Source organism: Homo sapiens, chromosome 5 (assembly GCF_000001405.40).
Source record: "Homo sapiens chromosome 5, GRCh38.p14 Primary Assembly".
Taxonomy (NCBI): Eukaryota; Metazoa; Chordata; class Mammalia; order Primates; family Hominidae; genus Homo; species Homo sapiens.
The window spans coordinates 153,674,754-153,695,623 of record NC_000005.10 but is presented as its reverse complement, the minus strand read 5'-3'; the positions used below and the strand labels follow the sequence as shown (position 1 = coordinate 153,695,623).

The 20,870-nt window shown below is 42.7% G+C and overlaps 1 protein-coding gene across 14 annotated transcripts in view; it reads right to left on the bottom strand.

Moving 5' to 3' along the window:
- The window catches only part of GRIA1 (glutamate ionotropic receptor AMPA type subunit 1), a 324,255-nt gene that overhangs the window by 118,246 nt on the left and 185,139 nt on the right, over window positions 1–20,870 (bottom strand). For 13 of the 14 annotated variants that reach the window (NR_157093.2, NR_047578.2, XM_047417128.1 and 10 more), the window contains 2 exons: window positions 18,463–18,630; window positions 9,295–9,399 (listed from right to left, as the gene is read on the bottom strand). Coding sequence is in view for 12 of the 14 variants with exons in the window: in XM_047417128.1 (XP_047273084.1) it covers window positions 9,295–9,399; window positions 18,463–18,630 (273 nt within the window). In the remaining 2 variants the exon portion in view is untranslated. The remainder of the gene's footprint in view (window positions 1–9,294; window positions 9,400–18,462; window positions 18,631–20,870) is intronic. The other variant, NM_001364165.2, reaches the window with a different exon arrangement.

The window sequence follows — 20,870 nt, the reverse complement described above, 5'->3', positions numbered from 1 at the left end:
ACTTTTTCCTTTTTCACAGGGAGAAGCAGAGGCGCAGAGACCACAGAATTTGCTCAAGACAGTGTGGTCTCAGTTCCCTTGCTTTTGCAAGGACTGTGTTCTAGGGAACCCTAAGAGACTTGTGGGGCCTTTCACCGCTCATGGAAGGTGGTGAGGGGCAGTGAAGAGGAGAGAGCTCTGGCTTCCTCATCCTTGCTCTAATGCTCAGCTCTGCTTTTTATCTATTTCACCTATTGGGATTCCCCGCAAGAGTTGCCTTTCTCAAGGAGCCTTCTAGCTGAAAAATAGATGTTTAAAAGCACTCTGGTAGTATATTATGATGTAAAGTTTTCTCCTTTGGTATTGTTTTGTTTTTTAAATCTCCACAGTACTTTTATAACATCTTTACACTATGCAGATAGTGCAGGCAGGCTTAGGATTATTTTCTCTGCTTTACAGATAGGAAAACTTAGGCTTAGGGAGATTAAATGATCTAACAAAACAATAGGTTATATAGTAGATTAGTGGCAGAACATAGAACCCAGGTCTTGTGGACCTCAAAGGTAAGATTATTTAATAAAATCAATACAAACCTGGGAAAATATCTGTCAAATATGATTTATCCCCTCATAGATGGTCCTAAGGTTTTTTTTTTCTTTTCCCTTTCTCCTCCTTCTTGTTCATTTTCTTCCCTGTCATCCATCCTTTCTCCCTTCCTTCCTCCTATTCTTCCTCCTTTCCTTCCTGTCTTTCTTCTTCCTTCTTCACAATTAGTCCACAGGTTTAAATATTCCTACTCAAACTGCACAACCATCAGTAGAAAGGAAGTTGCTTCCTTTGACATGCAACCAATTCCTCTAAAAGCCACTGAGTATTAAGATGTATTATTTTAAAAAAGAGGGAGCCCAGTGGTCAAGATCTTGGTCTCTGGCCTCAGGCCAGACCTGGTTTAAAAGCTAGGCTTTCCTAATTACCAACTATCAGCTTGAGCAAGTTACCTGACCTCTGTGGTCCTCAGTCCCTGATCTGTAGAGTGGATGTAACAATGGTACCTGCCTCATGGGCTGCTATGAGAACTACATTAGTTAATGCATGTAAAACAATTAGCACAGTGTATGGTTCATATTGTCAGTAAGCTAAAAAATGATATTCATTAGGGTAGTGCCTAGTTGAAGGTTAACAGGTTTCTATACTACAAGACATTTCTGTTTTCAATTTGCTGTTGAACATTATCTGCAAAAGAAGCATGCATTATAGAGCATTTTGAAATTCACTTGACAATATAACCCTTCTTTATGTATAGAATGTTCAGGGTATGTGGTTTAAAAATTATAAAACTGCCGTAAAATCCCAAGGTTTTCATACAAGATAGGAAAAAAAAGCAAGATGAATCTGTGTAAGCCAGATGTATATGGCTTAGAAAGATACCTTAATTTTTAAGGATAGTTGTCCTTCAAAGCTAGCACTACTTATTAATTTTAGCACTATTGTTAAATTGGGATCTCTAAAAAAATGTGGTATAGCTTGGCTTATATGCTAGGTACTTTCATATCAAAAGCTAGTAGAATAGTTAGAAATTGTAAACAAACCTATTTTATTTCTAACTCTTTTGTAGGGAGATAAAACAAAATATTGCCAGGGTCAGTGGGCTGAGTGATACTCAGCCTCATGCCTATGCCTCATGTAAACTAGTAGACTGAGAAATCTGGTTCCACAGTTTGATGAAAAGAAAGCTGGCAAAGATTTTTGAACAGACATTGCACTTTGGAGATTAGAGCAAATTTTCCTTTCTTTGGGAAATGGTTGGATTATAATACAGCACTTTGATTCTCTACTGAGGATATGCAGGAATTTTGATTCTTTCTAAAAGTAAATCAGAGTTAGTAGTTGGTAAAGATTGGGGCCTACCAGTCAGGAGAGGATTTAAACAATTCTGACAGTGAGAGGTCTTCTCCTGGGGCCAGTTATAATTTTTGATCTCCGTGTTTTCCATCTACCTCTAAAGATTCTTTGAATGTAGAAAATGAATCTAGATGACAGATCAGATTTTTTAAGTGGAGAAAGTCTTAAAAGGAGATGATCATAGAACTGAAAATTCAATTGATCTATATTGCACAGTCATCAAATCAAATTCAGAAATTGGTATCTCCAGGCTGCCTCTGAGACCACAGCCCCTTACCTCAAAAAATAAGATCCTTTAGTATCAATTTTTAAAGACTAAGTTGTCTATTGTGGCCAAGATAATTAGCTGACTCCCAAGCATTCTTATTTTCCTTCCATGGTGTAGAGATGTTGGTGGAGAGTGGCTACCTGGCCAGCAATGACATTTCCCAGCTTGTTTTACCTCTGATTGAGCCAAGTAACTGGGTTCTGGCCAACGGAATACAACAGAAGTGATGTGCATCTCTTCTAGGCTGATGCCCCAAAAATCTCCAGCAGAGTTGCCATTTTCTTTCATTCCTATCTGTTAGCTGGATGTTGAAATCCAGAAAGACCCAAGTAGACAGTGGAGGGTCCATGAGCCTGAGTCTTAGCCAGAACCCTCAGCCAAAAAAGTGGTCACTGAGTGAACAAAAAAAAGCTTCTTTTGCATTAAACAGCTGAGATTTCAGAGTTTATCTGTTACAGCACCTAGGATTATCTAAATTAACACACTTAAAAGATTTGAAGTTAATAAGTTTATGTGTAACTTTATCTGAGTTCTGCTTGAGGTGTTATTTTATTAAATTTGCAGGCATTTTTTTCCCTTACTTATTGGCAGATCTTTTGAAATATGGGCTAGCATAGTGTGCTCTCTGATTGCCCAGAAACATTTGATAAACTTCCCAGTGATGTAATAAACAACCTTTTATTTGTATGTGCTTACTCTGTTTCAGTATATTCTAGGCACTGTGAATATAATAAAAATACAAATATGGTCCTTGCTTTTAAAGAGTTGGCGTTTTAGAACATTTAGGAGGTAGAGAAGTATGAAGAAAATACATATCCAGACCAGGGGTTGACAAGCTTTATCCTAAAGGGCCAGACGGTAGATATCTTTGGCTTTGTGGATCATATAGTCTGTGTTGCCACTACTTATCTCTGTTGTTGTCATGCAGAGGCAGATATAGATAATATATAAACAAATGAGCATAGCTATGTTCCAGAAAAACTTTATGGGCACTGAAATTTTAATCTCTCATAATTTTCACATGTCACAAAATGGTCTTCTTTTGATTTATTACAACCATTTAAAAATGTACATGTAACCATTAGCTCATGGGCTGTACAAAAATAGGTGGTGGGATGAATTTGGCCAGTAGGCAGAAGTTTGCCAACCTCAATCTAGATCAATCAACCAATAAAAATATATCAGAAGGAATAAGCACCATGAAAAGTACAAATAAAAAGGAAATTGTGACTGTGAGCTGGGTGAGTGGGAGTGACTTTAAAAGTGCTTGGTCAAGGATGTCGTTTCCAAGGTGGCTTCACTTGGACTGAGACCTGAATGACAAGGAGGCACACAGCACATGAAACTCTAGTGATAGAAAATGCCAGGTAAAGGAATAGCATATGCAAGTGACTTGAGGAAAGTGCGAGGCTGTGCTCAAGGAATGCAAAGATGCCAGTGTAACTGCAGAGAAATGAGCTAGAGAAAGAGGAGTGAGAGCTGATGCCACAGGGAAGCAGCATTGAGGGCTCTGAGGGCCATGTTGTATATTTACTGGCAACAGGAAAGTGGTAAAAGTTTTAAGGAAAGGAGCCATATAACCTGATATATATTTGAAAATTATTGTCCTCGTCTTGTGGTGGAAAAGTAGCCTTGTAGAGGGGCAAGAACATAGCAGGACTCGTGACTGGTAAGGAGGCTACTGTGTGGTGTGTGGAAGATGGCCTGGGCTCTGGGCTCAGCAGTAGAAATGGAGAGAGGTGGTGAGGTTTAGGCTATATCTGAGATGCTATGTCTATATCTGATGCTATAACATGATTCAGTATGGTCAAAATTGGGTAACAAGGATTTAAAGCAAAACTTCCAAAAAGCATATGGAATGGCAAGCTATAAATTCTTTGGGACTTTAGAAGATTACTTTTGATATCAGCAGGACTTTGTGTCCCTTTAGTCTTGTTTCCTGCCCAGTCTTTTCATTCTAGTTATACACAGGGTCAGAAGTGGGGATAATAAACTTGGGGCAGGGCAGGGCCACTCAAATCGAATTGAAATGAGAAGTAGATTCCTCCACCCAGTCTAAAAATTGCTATAGGAACAATGGTGATGGGAAAAGACGGTTAAATCAACAATACCAGTTCTTCGATGAAAAATGTAAGATAATTTTCCCTAAACTTCTCCACTGGGCAGCCATTTATCAGAATTTGTGATTCTACCAGATTTTGACAAGATATTTTATTCAGAGAGAGACCCTAAATCAGTACCCCATAGTGAAGTGGTATCCTTGAACGGGATTTCCTAAGGATCCCATTTTAGTAGAGCAAGTACCCATCCTGGTATCTGAAGCCCCTAAACTTTATGATGAATGGATGCTTAGAACACCCACATTTCAGTGGGATGTCAAATTGTATCCAGGTACCTAGAGGGTATATTGGCACATGAGTGAACAGGAAATAGGCCTGAAGATCAGGAGAGTTTCTCTGAGGCTCCAAATCTGGAAGAAACAGCTCCTTTTTACTATACACAATCAGGTAAGGCCATGTAATGCTCACTGAAACCAGTACAACTAGGTCACCCTTGAAAATCAGAAAAATTACTTTGTTAGGAGGCTGATTGAGTAAAAAGCCTGAAGCCACAGATGTGAGGAATTGATTTTCTGAAAGGCAGATCCCCCATAAACAAAGGACGTTTAAGCCCACATTCTAAGAAAGGATTTGGCCATTGGAAGGTAAGTTTAAAAACAGCCCTGGGATCTGAAAACTAAAGCACAACCATTTGCTCATGGATTTTAAGGTACTCTGTTATTTCTCTTTGCTGATTTATCCATTCCACAGGCTTACACAGCCTGACTCCCCCAAATGCAATGCTGATATAAAATCCCTGTGGCCTATAGAAGGGAGTTTAAAAGTACAAACAAGTAAACAAATGTGGGCTGAATGTCCGCTACGTGCCAGGAGCTACTTTTCCGAATCCCTTACTACAAGCAGTGGTGTAACAGGCATTGTCTTATTCAATCCTGACAGTGATCCTGGGAGGCAAAGAGTATTACCACCCTTTTAGAGATGATGTAATGACTTGCAGGGAGGCTAAATAATGTGTTCAAGGTCATGTGCCTAGTAAAGACTAAAGCAGACTTAAAATCCTGGTCTGTCTGCCTCTAAAGCCCAAGCTCTTAGCCACCCTGTCAGTGTTTCTTTTTTTGTAAATTATATTATAAATTATATTATATTATATTATATTATTTGTATTCCTTTTACTTCCATCTTCTTTCCTTAGTAGTTGCCAGTGATTCTTATCAAACTCTTTACGCACCAACCAGAAAATCTGTGGGTTGGAGAGGAGGATTCAAGAAGGTGCAGATTCCTAGGCTTCATCTCTGTTCTCCAGAAGCAGAGTACCCAGGGGCTGGGACCCAGGAATCTGCGTTTTAAATAAGGCCTCCCAGTAATTCTTCTATTTGCTGAGGCTTGAGAACCATTAATCTTGCTACAGTGCCTCCACTTCTGAGAAGTTCTTGATGAAGAGCAAGTCTTGAAGAGATAAAAAGCCTCCCAACAGTCTCTGGGCAATAGTTAGGGTCAACTCAAAGGGCTGGGGCCTCTGGTTCTGGGAGTAACAACTGGGGAATTTCATACCAAAGGACAGTTTGTCAATTGATGAAGGCCCCAGTGGAAATTCTACTTTCACAGAGGAAGCCGAAGTCCAGCCAGGAGAGGAACAATGTGAGTAGGGAGAGGATGGTAAAAATGCAGCAGATGGCACTGACATCCAAGGTGTCAGAGCTGAGAGGAATTAAGGTTTGCACAGCCCAATGTCTCTCACTTATTTTAGAGACCCAGAGAGACTATGAGACATGCTGAAGGCCACACAGCTGGATGATGGCAGAAATGGCATAGAAGTCTCTGGCTTCTATTCTTACTTGTTGCACCTTCAGTATAACCCCAATATACCCAGTGACCACTAACGTGTAGAAAATAATCTGGCTATATTTTAAGCTAATCCACTACTCCAGAGTTGGGGAAAACAGTTCGACATCCATATTTTAATAATGGCAAACACATAACTACTCATATACAATGTAGAAATGCCAATTTGTTCTATCCAGGAAATAGCAATATTCTTTTTTCCCTGAGAGCAAAAGGCCATTCTGAGGATTCTGAGGAAAAGCCCAGGTCTATGGTCAACAATTTTCTATCTAGGAGCAATAGGCTTGCCTGCTTGGGCCTTACACAAAAATGCTGCATCTATGTTTTCATTGTCAAGGCAGGAGGTGATACCAGCAGTTCTCAGAATCTGAAAGAAAGGGGCTGGGGACAGTGGCTCATGCTTGTAATCCCAGCACTTTGGGAGGCCGAGGTGGGTGGATCACTTGAGCCCAGGAGTTTGAGGTTATAGTGAGCTATGATAGTACCACTGCACTCCAGCCTGGGCAAGAGAGCGAGACCCTGCCTCAAAAAAGAAAGAAAGAAAGAAAAAAAAGCCTGGGGGCGGTGGCTCATACCTGTAATCTCAGCACTTTGGGAGGCGGAGGTGAATGGATCACACGGTCAGGAGTTTGAGACCAGTCTGGCCAACGTCGTGAGAAACCCCGTGTCTACCCAAAATACAAAAATTAGCCAGGTGTGGTGATGGGCACCTATAATCCCAACCACTCGGGAGGCTGAGGCAGGAGAATCACTTGAATCCGGGAGGTGGAGGTTGCAGTGAGCCGAGACCATGCCATTGCACTCCAGTCTGAGCGACAGAGCAAGGCTCTGTCTCCAAAAAAACAAAAAAAGAATCTGAAAGGAAGATGGCCTTGGGGAGATGGTCACATATTTGGTGTCCCTTCCAGAGGCAGTACTCTTAACAGTAGCTGCTAAATGCTTTGAAAGAAATAAACAAGCCACCTCAGTGTTTTCCAGATTTCAGCCGTGTGCTAACTCTTCAACATTTACTATAGCTATTAATAACCACTAACACAGGTAACATTCACTGAACAGTGATCAGGCGCTAATGCAGACATGATCTGTGCCCGTTTTACAGATGTGGAAATTGAAAGTTATAAGAGCTAAGTGACCTAGCAAATGTCTTCTCCAGCAGCAAAAATCAGAAGACCATGGGACAACAAAAATGAACTCAGACTTGGACTATTTCTGGATAAATGTCATTCTCAAGGGTTTTTGAGCCCAGAAAGAGTGTCTGTGTACAATCAACATGCCAAAAGTTTGCTGAAGAAGTGGATACGTTCCCAGTGGCTACATTCATAGCCAAATAGGGTGCCCTTATTTGGTACCTGCTGTAAGTCAAGGCAGGTTACTGTAGCTGATTCCTGAAGGAGGAGATCTTCCAGTCAGAGATGGGAGATGGGCTCTGGAAGGCTGTGGTTAGCGAGAAGATGTGATGATAGAAGAAGGGTCAGAGAGAGGTAACATTGCTGGTTTTGAATATGGAGAAAGCTTGGTAACATGGGAGCCAAGGAATATAGGTGGCCTTTAAGAAACTGGAAAAGGCAAAGAAACAAACTTAACTCTGGAGCCTCCAGGAAGAAACATGACCTTGCCAACACTTTGATTTTAGTCCAGTGAAACTCAAGTCAGACTTCTGACCTACAGAATTGTGAGATGATAAATCTGTGTTGTTTTAAGTCACTGTTTGTGGTAATTTGTACAGCAGCAATAGACAACTGACATAGCCTTAATGAATGAGATAAGATTGGCTGTGAGGTAGAAGATGCGGTTCTAGACATAAGAGCAGAGAAGACAGGTTTAAGGGAGGTGAGGACGGAGAGTGGACAAAGAGAACTTTAAAGTAGAACTTTCTGCAGTGATGTAAATGTTCTACATCTGTGCTGCCTGATGTGGTAGCCACTAGCCACATGTGGCTACTGAGCACTTGACATGTAGATAGTGCAACTGAAGAACTGATTTTTAAATTGGAATTTATTTAAAATTCAACCTAAACAGCCACATACGGCTAGTGGCAAGGTTATCTGACAGCACAGGCATAGAGAGCATTAAGTCTGAGAGATTAAGACCCAACTTTCAATGGGCCAGTTCCAGTACTTAGAACTTCTGCACACTCTTAGATCATTTAATCCTCTCAATGACCCTATGAGGTTGGCATGGTTAAGGTGATCCCCACTTACTAGATAAGAGAATTAAGGAACAAAGAGCTCAAATAAATTATCCGGAACCCCAGACTAGTAAGTGGTGAAGCCAGGATTCAGTGTTGAGGATTCCAGAGCCAGCATTCTGATCCATGGCACCCTACCAGCTCTACGCCATGCTGTACAATGCCTCCCAGTCATTATGCTACGCCACCAAATGGAATTAGCAATGTGATGAAGGCCATGAGCAGAGAAGTAGAGGCTTCCATGAAGCATAATAAGAAAGGCCAGAGAAGGCTTCGTTGGGGAATGACATTTACTTTGAGTGTGGAAGGCTGAGGAGGGATTGGCAGGCAAGAGGAGGGAGATGGGGGGAGGAAGTCCCAGGCAGAGGAAACATGTATGAAGGCTCAATGATGAGAAAGAACATGGTGTATTCAGGGAGGTGAAAGACAAACAGAATGACTGGAGTGGAGAGATGAAGGAAGTATCAAGGGTTAAGGGTGAAGAAATCGGCAGAGGCCCGGGCACATAGGTTCTGGTAGAATTCGAAATGTTATTCCAAGGATTTGAATGCTATTCTAAGAATTTTCATATGCAAACATATTATACATTATACATATATGTAAACATATATATTTTCACCCTTACTTTTGTATAAATAATAGAGTGGATATGACCAACTATCGATTAGGAAGAGATAGTTAACCTCATCAATAATCATCATTCTCAAGTTCTTAGTTTAGAAACCCTCAGGAATGGGAGTGGCATTTTATACACATCAATTACTTTATGTTTTAGAAGTGCTTTCCTCTACCTTGGATTTTCACAAGCATCCTGGGACAAATGTAGAGATTTTTTTAAACTTAATTTTGCAAATGAATGAATGGATTCTCAGAGGAAGAACGAGACTTGCCCAATGTCCCAGCTGGTTAGTGGCAGAGCCAAGTCTAGAATCTGTGTTGTCTGAGTTTCTTCAAAGATCCAGTCCAGAAAAGGTGGACTCACAGGCCCTCAGCTCTGGCCAGAGTCCCTGCTCAGCCTCTTCTCTCTGCAGAACAGAAGTAAAGGGGGACCTTACCTTTCGGATGCCGTCATGTTTCATTTCAATCACGTGGAGCGTGTAGTTGGTCCGGCGTCCTTTCTCATTAAACTGCACGTTTCCTGTTAAACCTTCAAATCGCACCTGGAAAACAAAACCAAGTGGTGGGCAGTGAACTCAGATGTACTTTATGTGTGTTTGCTTTTTCCACTGAAGTAGAAATTCAGAACCCAAGAGTGTTCCATGGAATGATGTCTTGGAGTATCCTGAATGCTAAAACTCTTCACTCCCTTGCCACAGGCAAGGGATGCATTACAGATCTCTTTTCCCTAAATTGGGATTCATCCTGACAATTGTTTTTACCTATTTCTTTAGGCAAATACTAACAATGGGTCAGAGTGCATACTAATGTGAAATGTCTGCACCATCCCTAACCAAACACCTCCCATCACACAACCACTATGACCACTGCCCTTCTCAGATACACATCTGAAGATGAAGAAAGTATGGGGGGCCTGCAAAGGAAAGAAAATGGTGCACCATCACTAATGAGTCAGAAGACCCAGGACAAGAAGCCAGCTTTATGAATGAAGCCTTAAGCTATGCTTGGAGATGGCTTCTTAATTCCTTTAAGAATTTCTTCTTTATTCCTGAGTCCAGGGAATAAAATACTTGGCAATTGAAAGACTTGGATTTAACCCCAGCTTAATCCTTAATAGCCAAGTGCCCTCAGGCAATTTAGCTCTCTAAGCCTTCAGTTTCCAAAAATCTCTGCCCTTTTTTTATCTTAAATGATAACTGCTAATGTGAAAGTGGTGTGAAAACTTCAAAGCACCTAGGGAGAACCCATTGTGTTCAGATAAGAGAATGCAAGGTGTTAAAGAAATCTCAGTTGGCTAAAATAAAATTGTATTGGAACCCTCAAATATGCCGCATGAGACTTCTCCACAAATGGGCAAAATCAAACTTTCATGGCCTTCTATCTTCAAATTCATATCAAAAGTCAAATGGTGACCATGGAGATCCAAGATATTTAAGGTTGAGCTTGCTGCTCTGTAGGTGACTGATAAATGTCATCCAAGACCACTCTCAAACTGAGTCTGAGTCTAGCTGTGTATCATCAGCTCAGGTACAAGCAACCACATTCCCTAATAGTGATCCACCATGTGTCCTCAGATCCCTCTTGCCTAAGGCCAGTGAGGTGAGGTGTCTACTTGTTACAAATACAAATCCAACCCTGTGACCCAGCACTGTTTATTTCCCTCCTTCAAATGGCTTAAAAGGAAGCTTTGCAGAGTTTTATATTTTTTTCTGACAGTGGCTAGCTCCTCTGTTGTTAGAACGTATAAGAAGAGTTGGGGGTTGTGTGTGTTTGAGAGTGAGAGAGAGAATGCGTGTGTGTGTGCATGTGTGTGTGTTCCTGTTTCGAGGTTGACCCTCTTGTCACCTTCTGGTTTGAAGTCTCAGTGAGGAGGTCACAACAGGCCCAGAGCACTGAGCAAATTTTACAACATGCTCTTTACTTTCTTAGATGAAATCAGGAGAAATCCCCAGCTCCATAAATGTCTGGGCTATCTTTGCTTTTCAGAGAGAAAACAAAGTACAGATTCTACTACAAAGAATAAAAGAAAGGAGCAATTCCAGTCCATCAGCAACTTCACCTTCTTATCACCTCAGTAATCTCTTGCCAATCTTTAGTGTTCCCTTATTTCCAGTTCAAGATAGTGTTAGTTTGGTGGGTACCATGTAAGTGACTCATTCCAAAGAAACAGACTTGGATAGATGTGCAGATGGTAGACTGGTAGACTGATTTGCCCAAACTGAAAGTGTCATTAATTATCCAAACAGGCATCTACTTTTCAGCCCCAGTCTCAATTTTCATACTAATAATCAGCATGGCATATTAGTATGGCAGAGTACATAATCTCTCTATGACTAAGTTTCTCATTTGTTTAATGGAACCAATTAGAGTTAACTATGTCTTAAGGTTGTTCTAAGGATTAAAAGAGATATTTTTTGATCAATGCTTGGTGCATGATGAGTATTCAAAAAATGCCAGCTGTTATTATTATTGTTGTTAATGGTGATACTTAATACTAATATTACTTTCTAAAAACTTCATGTTTATGACACACTTGCACACATATTATTTCATCTCTAGTCACAGGAACCCCCTGAAGTATGCCATTTAGAGATTATGATCTTTATTTACATGGGAGATGCCAAATTCTGGGAAGTAAAGTGATCTGCTCAAGTCTTATGACTAACCAGTGGCAGAGGCAGGTCTAAAATCTGGAGCTTCTGGTAACTTCTGGTATCTTCACTTAAGGTACCAAGTGTTCGCCGAAACACAGGCCAGTGCTATTGTGCTAGGCTTCAGGAGGACAACACAAAAATGTGCAATGTAGTGTTTTCTACCTGCTTTCTGCTATTGCTGCTGGGCATTTCCCAGGTTGTGCTCTGCTCATTCTAACTGTATGACCATAGGTTCCTTGCTCAAACTATCTGCTTCTTAGTTTCCTCCTCCAAGAAGTACTTAGCACATTGTCTGGGACATAAGTTTTCAATGCATAGTTTATATTATTTAGATGATAATAATGATGATAATGACGACTACTACTACTGTGCTGTGTAGAGTGGGTAAAAGTTATGAAAAATAAAATCTAAAATTGAGGCCTTGGGGCTGGTAGGTTGTCTAAGACAAGGGGACTCTTTCAGAAGAAAGAAGGATCATGTCACTGACACTTTTACTGCCTTCCTCAGTTTCCAATAAGGTCAAGGGTCCTACCTGCACAGTTCTAGTGACCCAAGGACCCCTTGCACTGTCACGGTGATCTCACAAGAAGCTGCTTATTTCATGTTCACAGAAACCCAGTGAGTAGCCAGAGCAGACGTTATTTTGCCTGTTTCACAGATGAGATTATTGAGACTCAGAGCTGATGGCGCTTGACTCCAGGATTCACAGTAAGTCATTGAGAGGTCAAGGGTAACTGAAGGCTCTTAGTATCTAGTTGGGGAAGCCAAGTCTTACTTGCACTGAGATAAAACAAAGTATCAGAGAATGCGAAAGAGACATCCCAGAAACACCATTCCATGATGGCAGAGCAAGGAGAGTTCAAGAGAATGGCTCAGCCCCAAACCATTTATCAAGGAGAGTCAGGACTCAGAGACAGAGGAAGAAGCTTCTCAGAAATGTGTATCTTGAAACCACTGTCCCCATCCATCAGGTCTGAGCTCTGGGATCTGGGCACTTATCCCTCTCTCCCCCCATCCCAGGGTGTCTGAGGTCAGATTGATGGAGCCCAGGCACTTCTTCTTGGTTCCTGCTCCCGGAACTTCTGTCGCCATCCTGGCGCCCTCAACTCCCTCCATGAAAGATGGAGAATTAACCTTGGGCTTCCTGTAAAGGGTACTGGGTGCCAGCTCAGAGTCTGCTGCTGATGGGAGGCTGAAGCATATATTTCCTTTCCTGCTTGGTGCTGAGAGAATGCGGGTTAATGTCTCTATTACTTCAGCTGTGTTAAAGAAAAAATTAATCAGCACACTTGTTAAAGCACAGTGAAGAAGACTTTATTCAGAATCGTAGCAATAGGTATAGAGACCCCTGCAATGGGTCTTGCAGAGGTGGAGAGAGATTGGGCTCAACTCTGAATAGAGCATGGGCCCGTGGGAATATATAGCCAAGGAGCAGGGTGGGGGTCAGTGGATAGGAAATTGCTAACAGCAAGCATCGGGGTTAAGAGGAATTCTGGCTAAAATGGCCTAAGAGGATTCTTGCTGAAGATGGACGAGGATGATCCGACATAATCTGGGGGATGGTGGGGGCTGAAGAAGATGATCATGGCAAAGAGGGTGGACGTGGTGGACAGGGTTCTTGCTAAACCGACTTAGCAAGTTCTTTGCCAAAACTGGATTTCACAAGAATTGCACAGATGGGCCTAGGAGAAGGTTCAGAAGCCTGACTAAAGTTTGGTCAAGCAAAGAATCTTTGTCAGGTGTCAACAGTGACTGCTCTCCCCTGCCCTCATTGGATCCTGAAAGGCAGTCCTGAAGGAGACAGCCGAGCAGTCAAACTGGACGCAGGGCTCCTGTATCCCCTTTGCAGTTGCCCTCAGGTGGATCCTTCCTCCTGGATGCTCACTGGCTGTGAGGCCTGTAGACTAGGTCCTTGCTGGGTCACATTCTAGGTACTCTGGCCAGAGCAAATCTCAGAACCCTCCTAAGCTTCACTTTCCTACCTGAGTCATGGGAAGAATAATCTTGGCTCTGACTGTCTCATGCAGCTTCCCTGAAGTTCAAAGAAACACATGCATGATGCTTTTTTTTTTTTTTGACATAGTCTCACACTGTCACCCAGGCTGGTGTGGTATGCAGTGGCACAACCTCGGCTCACTGTAACCTCTGCCTCCTGCGTTCAAGTGATTCTCCTGTCTCAGCCTCCCAGGTAGCTGGAATTACAGGTGCCTGCTACACATCCCGCTAACTTTTTGTATTTTTAGTAGAGACAGGGTTTCACTATGTTGGCCAGGTTGGTCTCAAACTCCTTACCTCGTGATCTGCCCACCTCAGCCTCCCAAAGTGCTGGGATTACAGGTATGAACCACGATGCTTGGCCCACAAGCACGATGCTTTCTTAAAATTCTGAGCCCTGTGACAAGCCAGTCAGGGAGGCAGCACTAGGAGGATTATGTCTGTTTAGCAGACAGGAAAAATCCAGATCTGGAAAAGGCAAGCAATTAGTCCAAGATCCCCCAGATAGTTCTGCGTGGAGCCACGGTTGGAACCCAGCTCTTCTATCCCTAATTCCTTAACAGGCCAATGTGACATGTGCAAGTCCTTTCTTGTACCCTCACCCTACCTCGTCTCTTGCTGGGTATCATTGACATCCCCATCCAGAACCTCCAAAACCCAATTTACTCCATGTTCAAATTTACCATACATTTAACGGTTCCATTACCACCCATCTCAGTTTGCCTGGGACGTGATATAGTTTGGATATTTGTCCCTTCCAAGTCTCATGTTAAAATATGACCCTGGACGTTGGAGGTGGTGCCTGGTGGGAGGTTTTTGCATCATGGCGGCGGAACTTTCCTGAATGGCTTGGCGCCCTCCCCATGGTAATGAATAAGTTCTTACTCAGTTCTCATGAGAGCTGGTTGTGTAAAAGAGCCTGTCACTTCCTCCCTTATCTATCACGCTCCTTCTCTTACTACGTGACATACTGTCTCTTCCTTTACACTCTGCCATGATTGGAAGCTTCCTGAGGCCCTCACCAAAAATAGATGCTGGCAGTGTACTTCGTGTGCAGCCTACAAAACTATTAGCTAAAATGAAACCTTTTTCTTTATACATTATCCAGTTTCAGGTATTTCTTTATAACAATGCACATGGACTAACGCAGGAGAGTTCTGGTACTCTTGTTCTGGAATAATTGATAGTAGTTTTTCCTTTCACTCCTAAGTGTTCCCGTTTGGATGATAGATTTTGGATAATAAAGTGGTCATCCTATTGAAAGGCCAGTCACATTCCTACAGAAAGCCTTGCTGATGTCTGCATTCCTCAGTGATGGCATTCTGCTCTGATCATCCACAGCACCATAAGCCCACCTGTGTTAGCCCTTAAAGGCAGGACTGCGTCTTAAACTCCATTGCCCACCCAACCCCAGACCCCATCTAGCAAAGTTCTGAGCATACCTTCACTTCCATATGCTTGATTGTTGGCTGGCAGGTTGCAAAAACAAAGACCAAGAGGGATGATTACTATTTAGGGGAGGTATTCTAAATTTGAGGCCCTGGGATGGATTCTAGGAGTATGTATGTTCTCTCTACTCCTGGTCATGCAGAAATTATGTATGTACACATATGCATTTTTCTAAGCAAAAGAATCTACAGATTTCTTTTAAAAAATCATATTCTCAAATGCCTATTACCTCCCCTATGTTAAGAACCCGACTTGGGGAGTTGAGTCTTCTCCACCGTCCAGAAGGCGACATATGAGCATCCTTCCTGGAGTGCTGAGGGCCTCCAGGATGTGGGTTCATTAATATTCTGAATGACTCCCTAGATGGCAAGCAGGGGGCAGGCAGGCAGCTGATTATCTTCATTCTGCTGCTAGGGAAATTACAGCGGAGTGAAGGGGGAGGGGGTGCACAGATATTACCCAAGGCCATGTGCTGCTGGGGGCTGGGCCATAGCTCTTGTGTCTTCCCTGTTTGGCCGTGCCCTTGAGGTTTCAGAGCAGTGAAGCATACAGAGGGAGGCATCATCTAAATGTGGTTTGGAGTCCCAACTTTACCACTAGCTAGCTGTATAACTTTGGGAAGTTTTATAACCTGTCTGAAGCTCGGCTTCTCCATTTACAAACCACGGTTAATAAAACTACCTACCTCAAGGTGTTATATCAAAGATCCAATGATATAATATGTGTAAATGTTTAGAGCTTTGTGTATACTAAGCCTTTAACACACCATACATATTATTTTCAGAATTTAACTCCCTAGCATGCTTGCCCTCCAGGTAGGCTGTGCTGGACCTCTTGGCCTAACTTATAGACAACCCAGGTCTAACACAAGCTAAACCACAGGTTCTCTCCCACTATGTGACCTGAAGGCCAGAGGTGAAGGCAGTAGAGACCTGAGCCTCCAAGCCTCAGGTTTCTAAGACTGGATACCATCAGGATTTACCCAGCTCCCTGGTGGCATGGCTATTTCAAGAGATGGGTCTAGAAAAAGCCATTGCTGAAGAGTAGTCCTGACTATGGATGGAAGGCTCCAGAGGTCAATGCTTATAAGCAAGGGCCCCTGGGCCCATAGCACAGACCTAACTGGGGGAAGAGGAGCCCTGGACTGGGATCTGGTCCAGCCTCCGCCACTAAGCTGCTGTGTGACCCTGGGTGAGTCACTGCCCACTCTGGATTTGCTGTTTCATTATAAAGTGAGGGAAAAGAAGAGTCAGTAATCTCTAAGGTGTCTTTCAACAAAATCTTTTTCATTCTAGGTGCTTAACAAAGATTGGAAAATGAATCGATTTGAACCTCTGATCTTAAGGTCAGAATGTTCTGGTTTATTTGTTTGTTTGTTTATTTATTTATTTATTTGGGATAGTTGTTCCTCTCTTTTTCTCCATAGACACTGCCAGGAGTTCCTTGAGCGCAGGCCTTGCTTTCTTTTATTGTCCTCAGTGCTTGGCTCCAAGCCAGGGCACACCATAGATCCTCAAAGAACAGCTGATGAAGGGCAGGCACACACATATCTTGGCTCCAAGACAAAATAAAAGAGGTCATTGTTCTTTTGACTATGGAAACTGCTTCCTTTCAAACCCTACTGAGGGCAGAAGCAGTGTGCTAAGTATACACTACAACCAGAAGGACATGGGTTAGACCATAAGAAAAAAAATTAGACTGTTTGAATTTTCAGAGCCAGTTGAGACTTGAGGTCCTCTCTCCACCCCCTTCATTTTCATGGGGAAGGAAAGGGAAGGCAGCAGGAGAGCTAAGTGAATGTTTCAAGGTCATCCAGAGAGCCAGGGGCCCAGCTGGACGTGGAGTCCAGCTCTCCTGCCTCCCAGTACAGAGTCCTTCCTGCCACCCTGAACTGCCTCCCAGGCTTCATCACTGTCATGGTGGCATCAGACTATCCTTTCAGGACGTCATTAAGATGGGAGAGGCAAGGGAGTTGGAAGGGTTGTGAAGCTGAGGACAAATCTCTGGGACCTTTTGAAACCAGCCTCACATTGCAAACAGAATCTGTCTCGACTGTGGAGTCTGGAAGAGCATTTTAAATAAGCTGAGGTGGGGGTAGAAAGGGAGGCGCAGGCACTGTCCATTTGGCAATTTTCCCCTGCAAGCTGCCTGGTGTCTGTTGTTGCTGCCTAGTGACTTGGGAGCCACCCTGCACAGGGACCAGGGGAGGGCAGAAATGGCAGCTGGAGGTCCTCCTTAGCATGTTCCTCATGTAGCTAGTAGAAATCCTGCTTAGCTTCATTTCAAAGGACAGACCTACATATTCTTCTCTACAGAAAGGCACTCATCAGGGCTGAGGAACAGCTGGTGAGGTTCCTTCAGCATCTCTTTCTCCTGGTTGTGAAAGTTGCTAGAGCTGTGCACGTGTGGTTGGCAAACAAGTGGGAATAGTTGTACATTTTGCTGTACATTTCTCTCTCATTCAGAAATGCTCCTCTTCTCCCCAAGGAGCCCAAATTCATCTTCTGCTGAATGTCGTCTTAAAAGTAAAGCTGGTCTTAGGCAGGCAACTCCATTTGTTGGGGAGGGTGGGTCCTGAGGGACATTTGTGCCAAATAATCTTGCTGTGCTGGTTTGTCATTGTGGCCAATGCTTTGTTATTCCTTTGCAGCAAGCACGGCCATCCTCTCCCTGTCCCTTCGGAAATACAGCTTCTCTAGCAGGAGGCATCAGAACAAAAATATAGTGCTATTCCTTGGCAGTTTGAGAATCATAGCCTGGGCTTGAGGTGCTTTAGAGATCTACAGGAGCCCCAAGAGCAATAAAGCTGAGGGCAAGTCCCCAAAATCTTCTAAACCAGGCATGTTAAATATACACCCACATGTACCACTGTCTCATGCTGCTTCCACAGCAGACATATCACTAATTGAATATTTATGCTTCTCTCTGTTGTATCTGGATTCAGCCTCAGAAGCTTTTGTATAGCCAATTGATTGGAGTTGGCGTGGCCATTTTCTATCCCTGCCCTTTAACTATTCTTAAGTGCAAACATAATTGATGAATGAAATGCTGAGAAGCAAGAAGGTAGTATCAGAAGTACTGAGAAACATTTTTAGGGTCCACATACCCCAGGCTCTCATACAATGTGTGCAGAGAGCAAAGGAAGAAATCCAGAAAATCAGGGCAAGAGGGGAGTGTTTCCAGGAGACCATTAACATGGTTCAGTTTCATCCTTGTGTATTTCAAGTCCCTTTCCCATACACAGAAAATCACCAGCTCTCCTTTTTCAGCAAAATTGCTAAGGAGAAAATACAGCTTTTACACTACAAGAAATGACTGTTCCATATCATTTTTTTTTTATATGAGCTTCAATGTATGCTAAGAACCACCAACACCAACAATGCAGTGGTTGTTCTGAACTTCAGGCATTTTCTTCCTTTTCTTTAGAATAGCTGTGTTTTATTGGAATTTGATGCTGAAATCCCCCAGTAGGCTCCTATGAGATGGGGCAAACATTGGTGGTCTTACCTGCTGCAGAGCTCTCTGGATGTCGATCCCTTGGCCCCAGGGAACAGCTGGGTTAGCCAGACAATCCCCAGCATTCCCCCGGCGAGATATATCAATTCTCTGCCTCCGCAGGCTCTGGAAAGCCTCAGCCATCACCTTCACCCCATCGTAGGTGAGCGCAGAGGTGTACTAGTGGGAGGAATGGAGACAGTTAGGTATCAAAGAGAGCTGACAGGAAGGCAGGTTTGGGTGCTGTATTTGGGAATGTGTTTTCTGGTGATGAGAAGGGTGTGCAGTGGGCCAGATGCATGGTATACGTGGGGCAGACAGTGGTGAATCAGGGATGGTGTCCCTGAGAAGCATAAATATTCAAGCAGATGGGTGCTGCTGCTCGACCATGCTAGTCAATGCTGACCTCCTTGAACTGTGAGTTCAGTACTGCCAGTTATAATTTTTGAAGAGAAGCCAGGATTCTAGGTTTCTGTGTGCAATCTTGCAATTTTTAAAATGTTGGTTCATTTGGGAAAAAATGCATAGATTACATATAACACATCTGCAGGCTGGATACAGTTCATGAAAAATCAGCTGGTTTATCCCGGCATTACAGTCATCAGCTGGAAACCAAGAGGAACGATTAACTCTTTCATCTCTTGTAAAAGTAAAAGCAAAAAGAAAATGAAAGAAGGGTGAGCTCTTAATTTTTTCCACATATGGCTTACCTAAGTGGTAAGTTTATATCCTGTAAACTTTCCCCTCATTCTTTCTCACAACAACTATCAATTATACCCTCTCCTGACAAAAAGGGGACTAGGATGTGGATGAAACAAAATCAGGAGAGCAGTCCAGGAAAATATATCCTGGCTTTGGAACCTATGTCTGTTTTCTTCACTAATTTGTTCCTAATACTTATTATGTTGCCTAGCACACTCCAAGTTCACAATAGAGAATTGAAGAACGAATGAATGGGTATTTTTCTAATTTTTTAAATTTAATTCTCTCACTTCTTTTTTAAAAAATTAAATTACATGCCGGGCGCAGTGGCTCACGCCTGTAATCCCAGCACTTTGGGAGGCTGAGATGGGTGGATCACAAGGTCAGGAGATCAAGACCATCCTGGCTAACACGGTGAAACCCCATCTCTACTAAAAAATACAAAAAATTAGCCAGGCGTGGTGGCGGGTGCCTGTAGTCCCAGCTACTTGGGAGGCTGAGGCAGGAGAATGGCGTGAACTCGGGAGGTGGAGCTTGCAGTGAGCCGAGATCATGCCACTGCACTCCAGCCTGGGCAACAGAGCCAGACTCCATCTCAAAAAAAAAAAAAAATTAAATTACATTTGGTTATTTTTGTCATCTGCTCAGTCTTTTGGAAATTGGAGTGCAATCATTACACATTACTTAATTAATTCCTATGTAGTTTTCTCATTGCTTGAAAGCATATTTGCGATTTTGTTTGCTTAAGATCATATTGAAATAAGTCTTCATTATTGAAGAGTTAAATCAGTTTGAATAGTGGGATAAGAAGTATCTCTGTTATACGGTTTGCCATTTATAAAAAGAAATGGATTGAGTGGCAAGAGAAAGTCTGTCAAAGATTCACTGTTTGTCCAGATAAACAAACTTGGCCTTAGTATCCTTCTCAACACAGGGTTCCATATGGCCACTGTCAATCTATCTGGTTTGACTTCAGAAAAAGAATCATTCGCTATCCTTATTCCCAAGCATTCTCAAATAACAAACAAAATAGATTTTGGTGGCAGTATTTAGAGCTGTGTTGCTGGGAAGTGAGAAGCAGAGAGTCTGCCTGATTACTGAGAGTGGACTCTCCCAGGTAGAGATCTGCTGGATATTCCTTAGTTAGGTTGCCCTGATTTTTAGCTGGGCACATGGCTGAGCAGAATAAGGGCCACCTCACTACACAAAGAAGCTCAATCTACAATGAAATGAGCATCCTCCTGAGCTGGGCAACATGGTGGCTCTGCCCAGAATAGAACCACCATTTTCCAGCTTCCCTTGCAGCCAACTGGGGGTAGTTTTCCAAGATACGATCAATAGCATATGAATGGAAGATCTGCTTGTGACTTCTGAAAACAGTTCTTCATGAAGAAGTTGTGCATTGCATGTTTTTTTTTCTTCCTACTGGGTAGAATGCTGAGGCAATGGCTGTAGTTTAAGCAGCCCTCTTGTACTATTAGGCAGCAGCCGTATGTGGATGACAGCAGAGCAAGAAGGTACAAGAAGCCTGGGTATTTGATAACTGTGGAGCCATTTTACAAGTCTGGGACTGCTGACTCCTAAGTTTTGTTCACAGGAGAGATAAATAAAATGTCTCCCTCCTTAAAACCATGTCATTTTGGGTTGTCTGACCCCTGCACCTTGTACCTAATAATCTTTACAAATATATTTCCCTGAATTTGTTCGCTTTAGAAAAC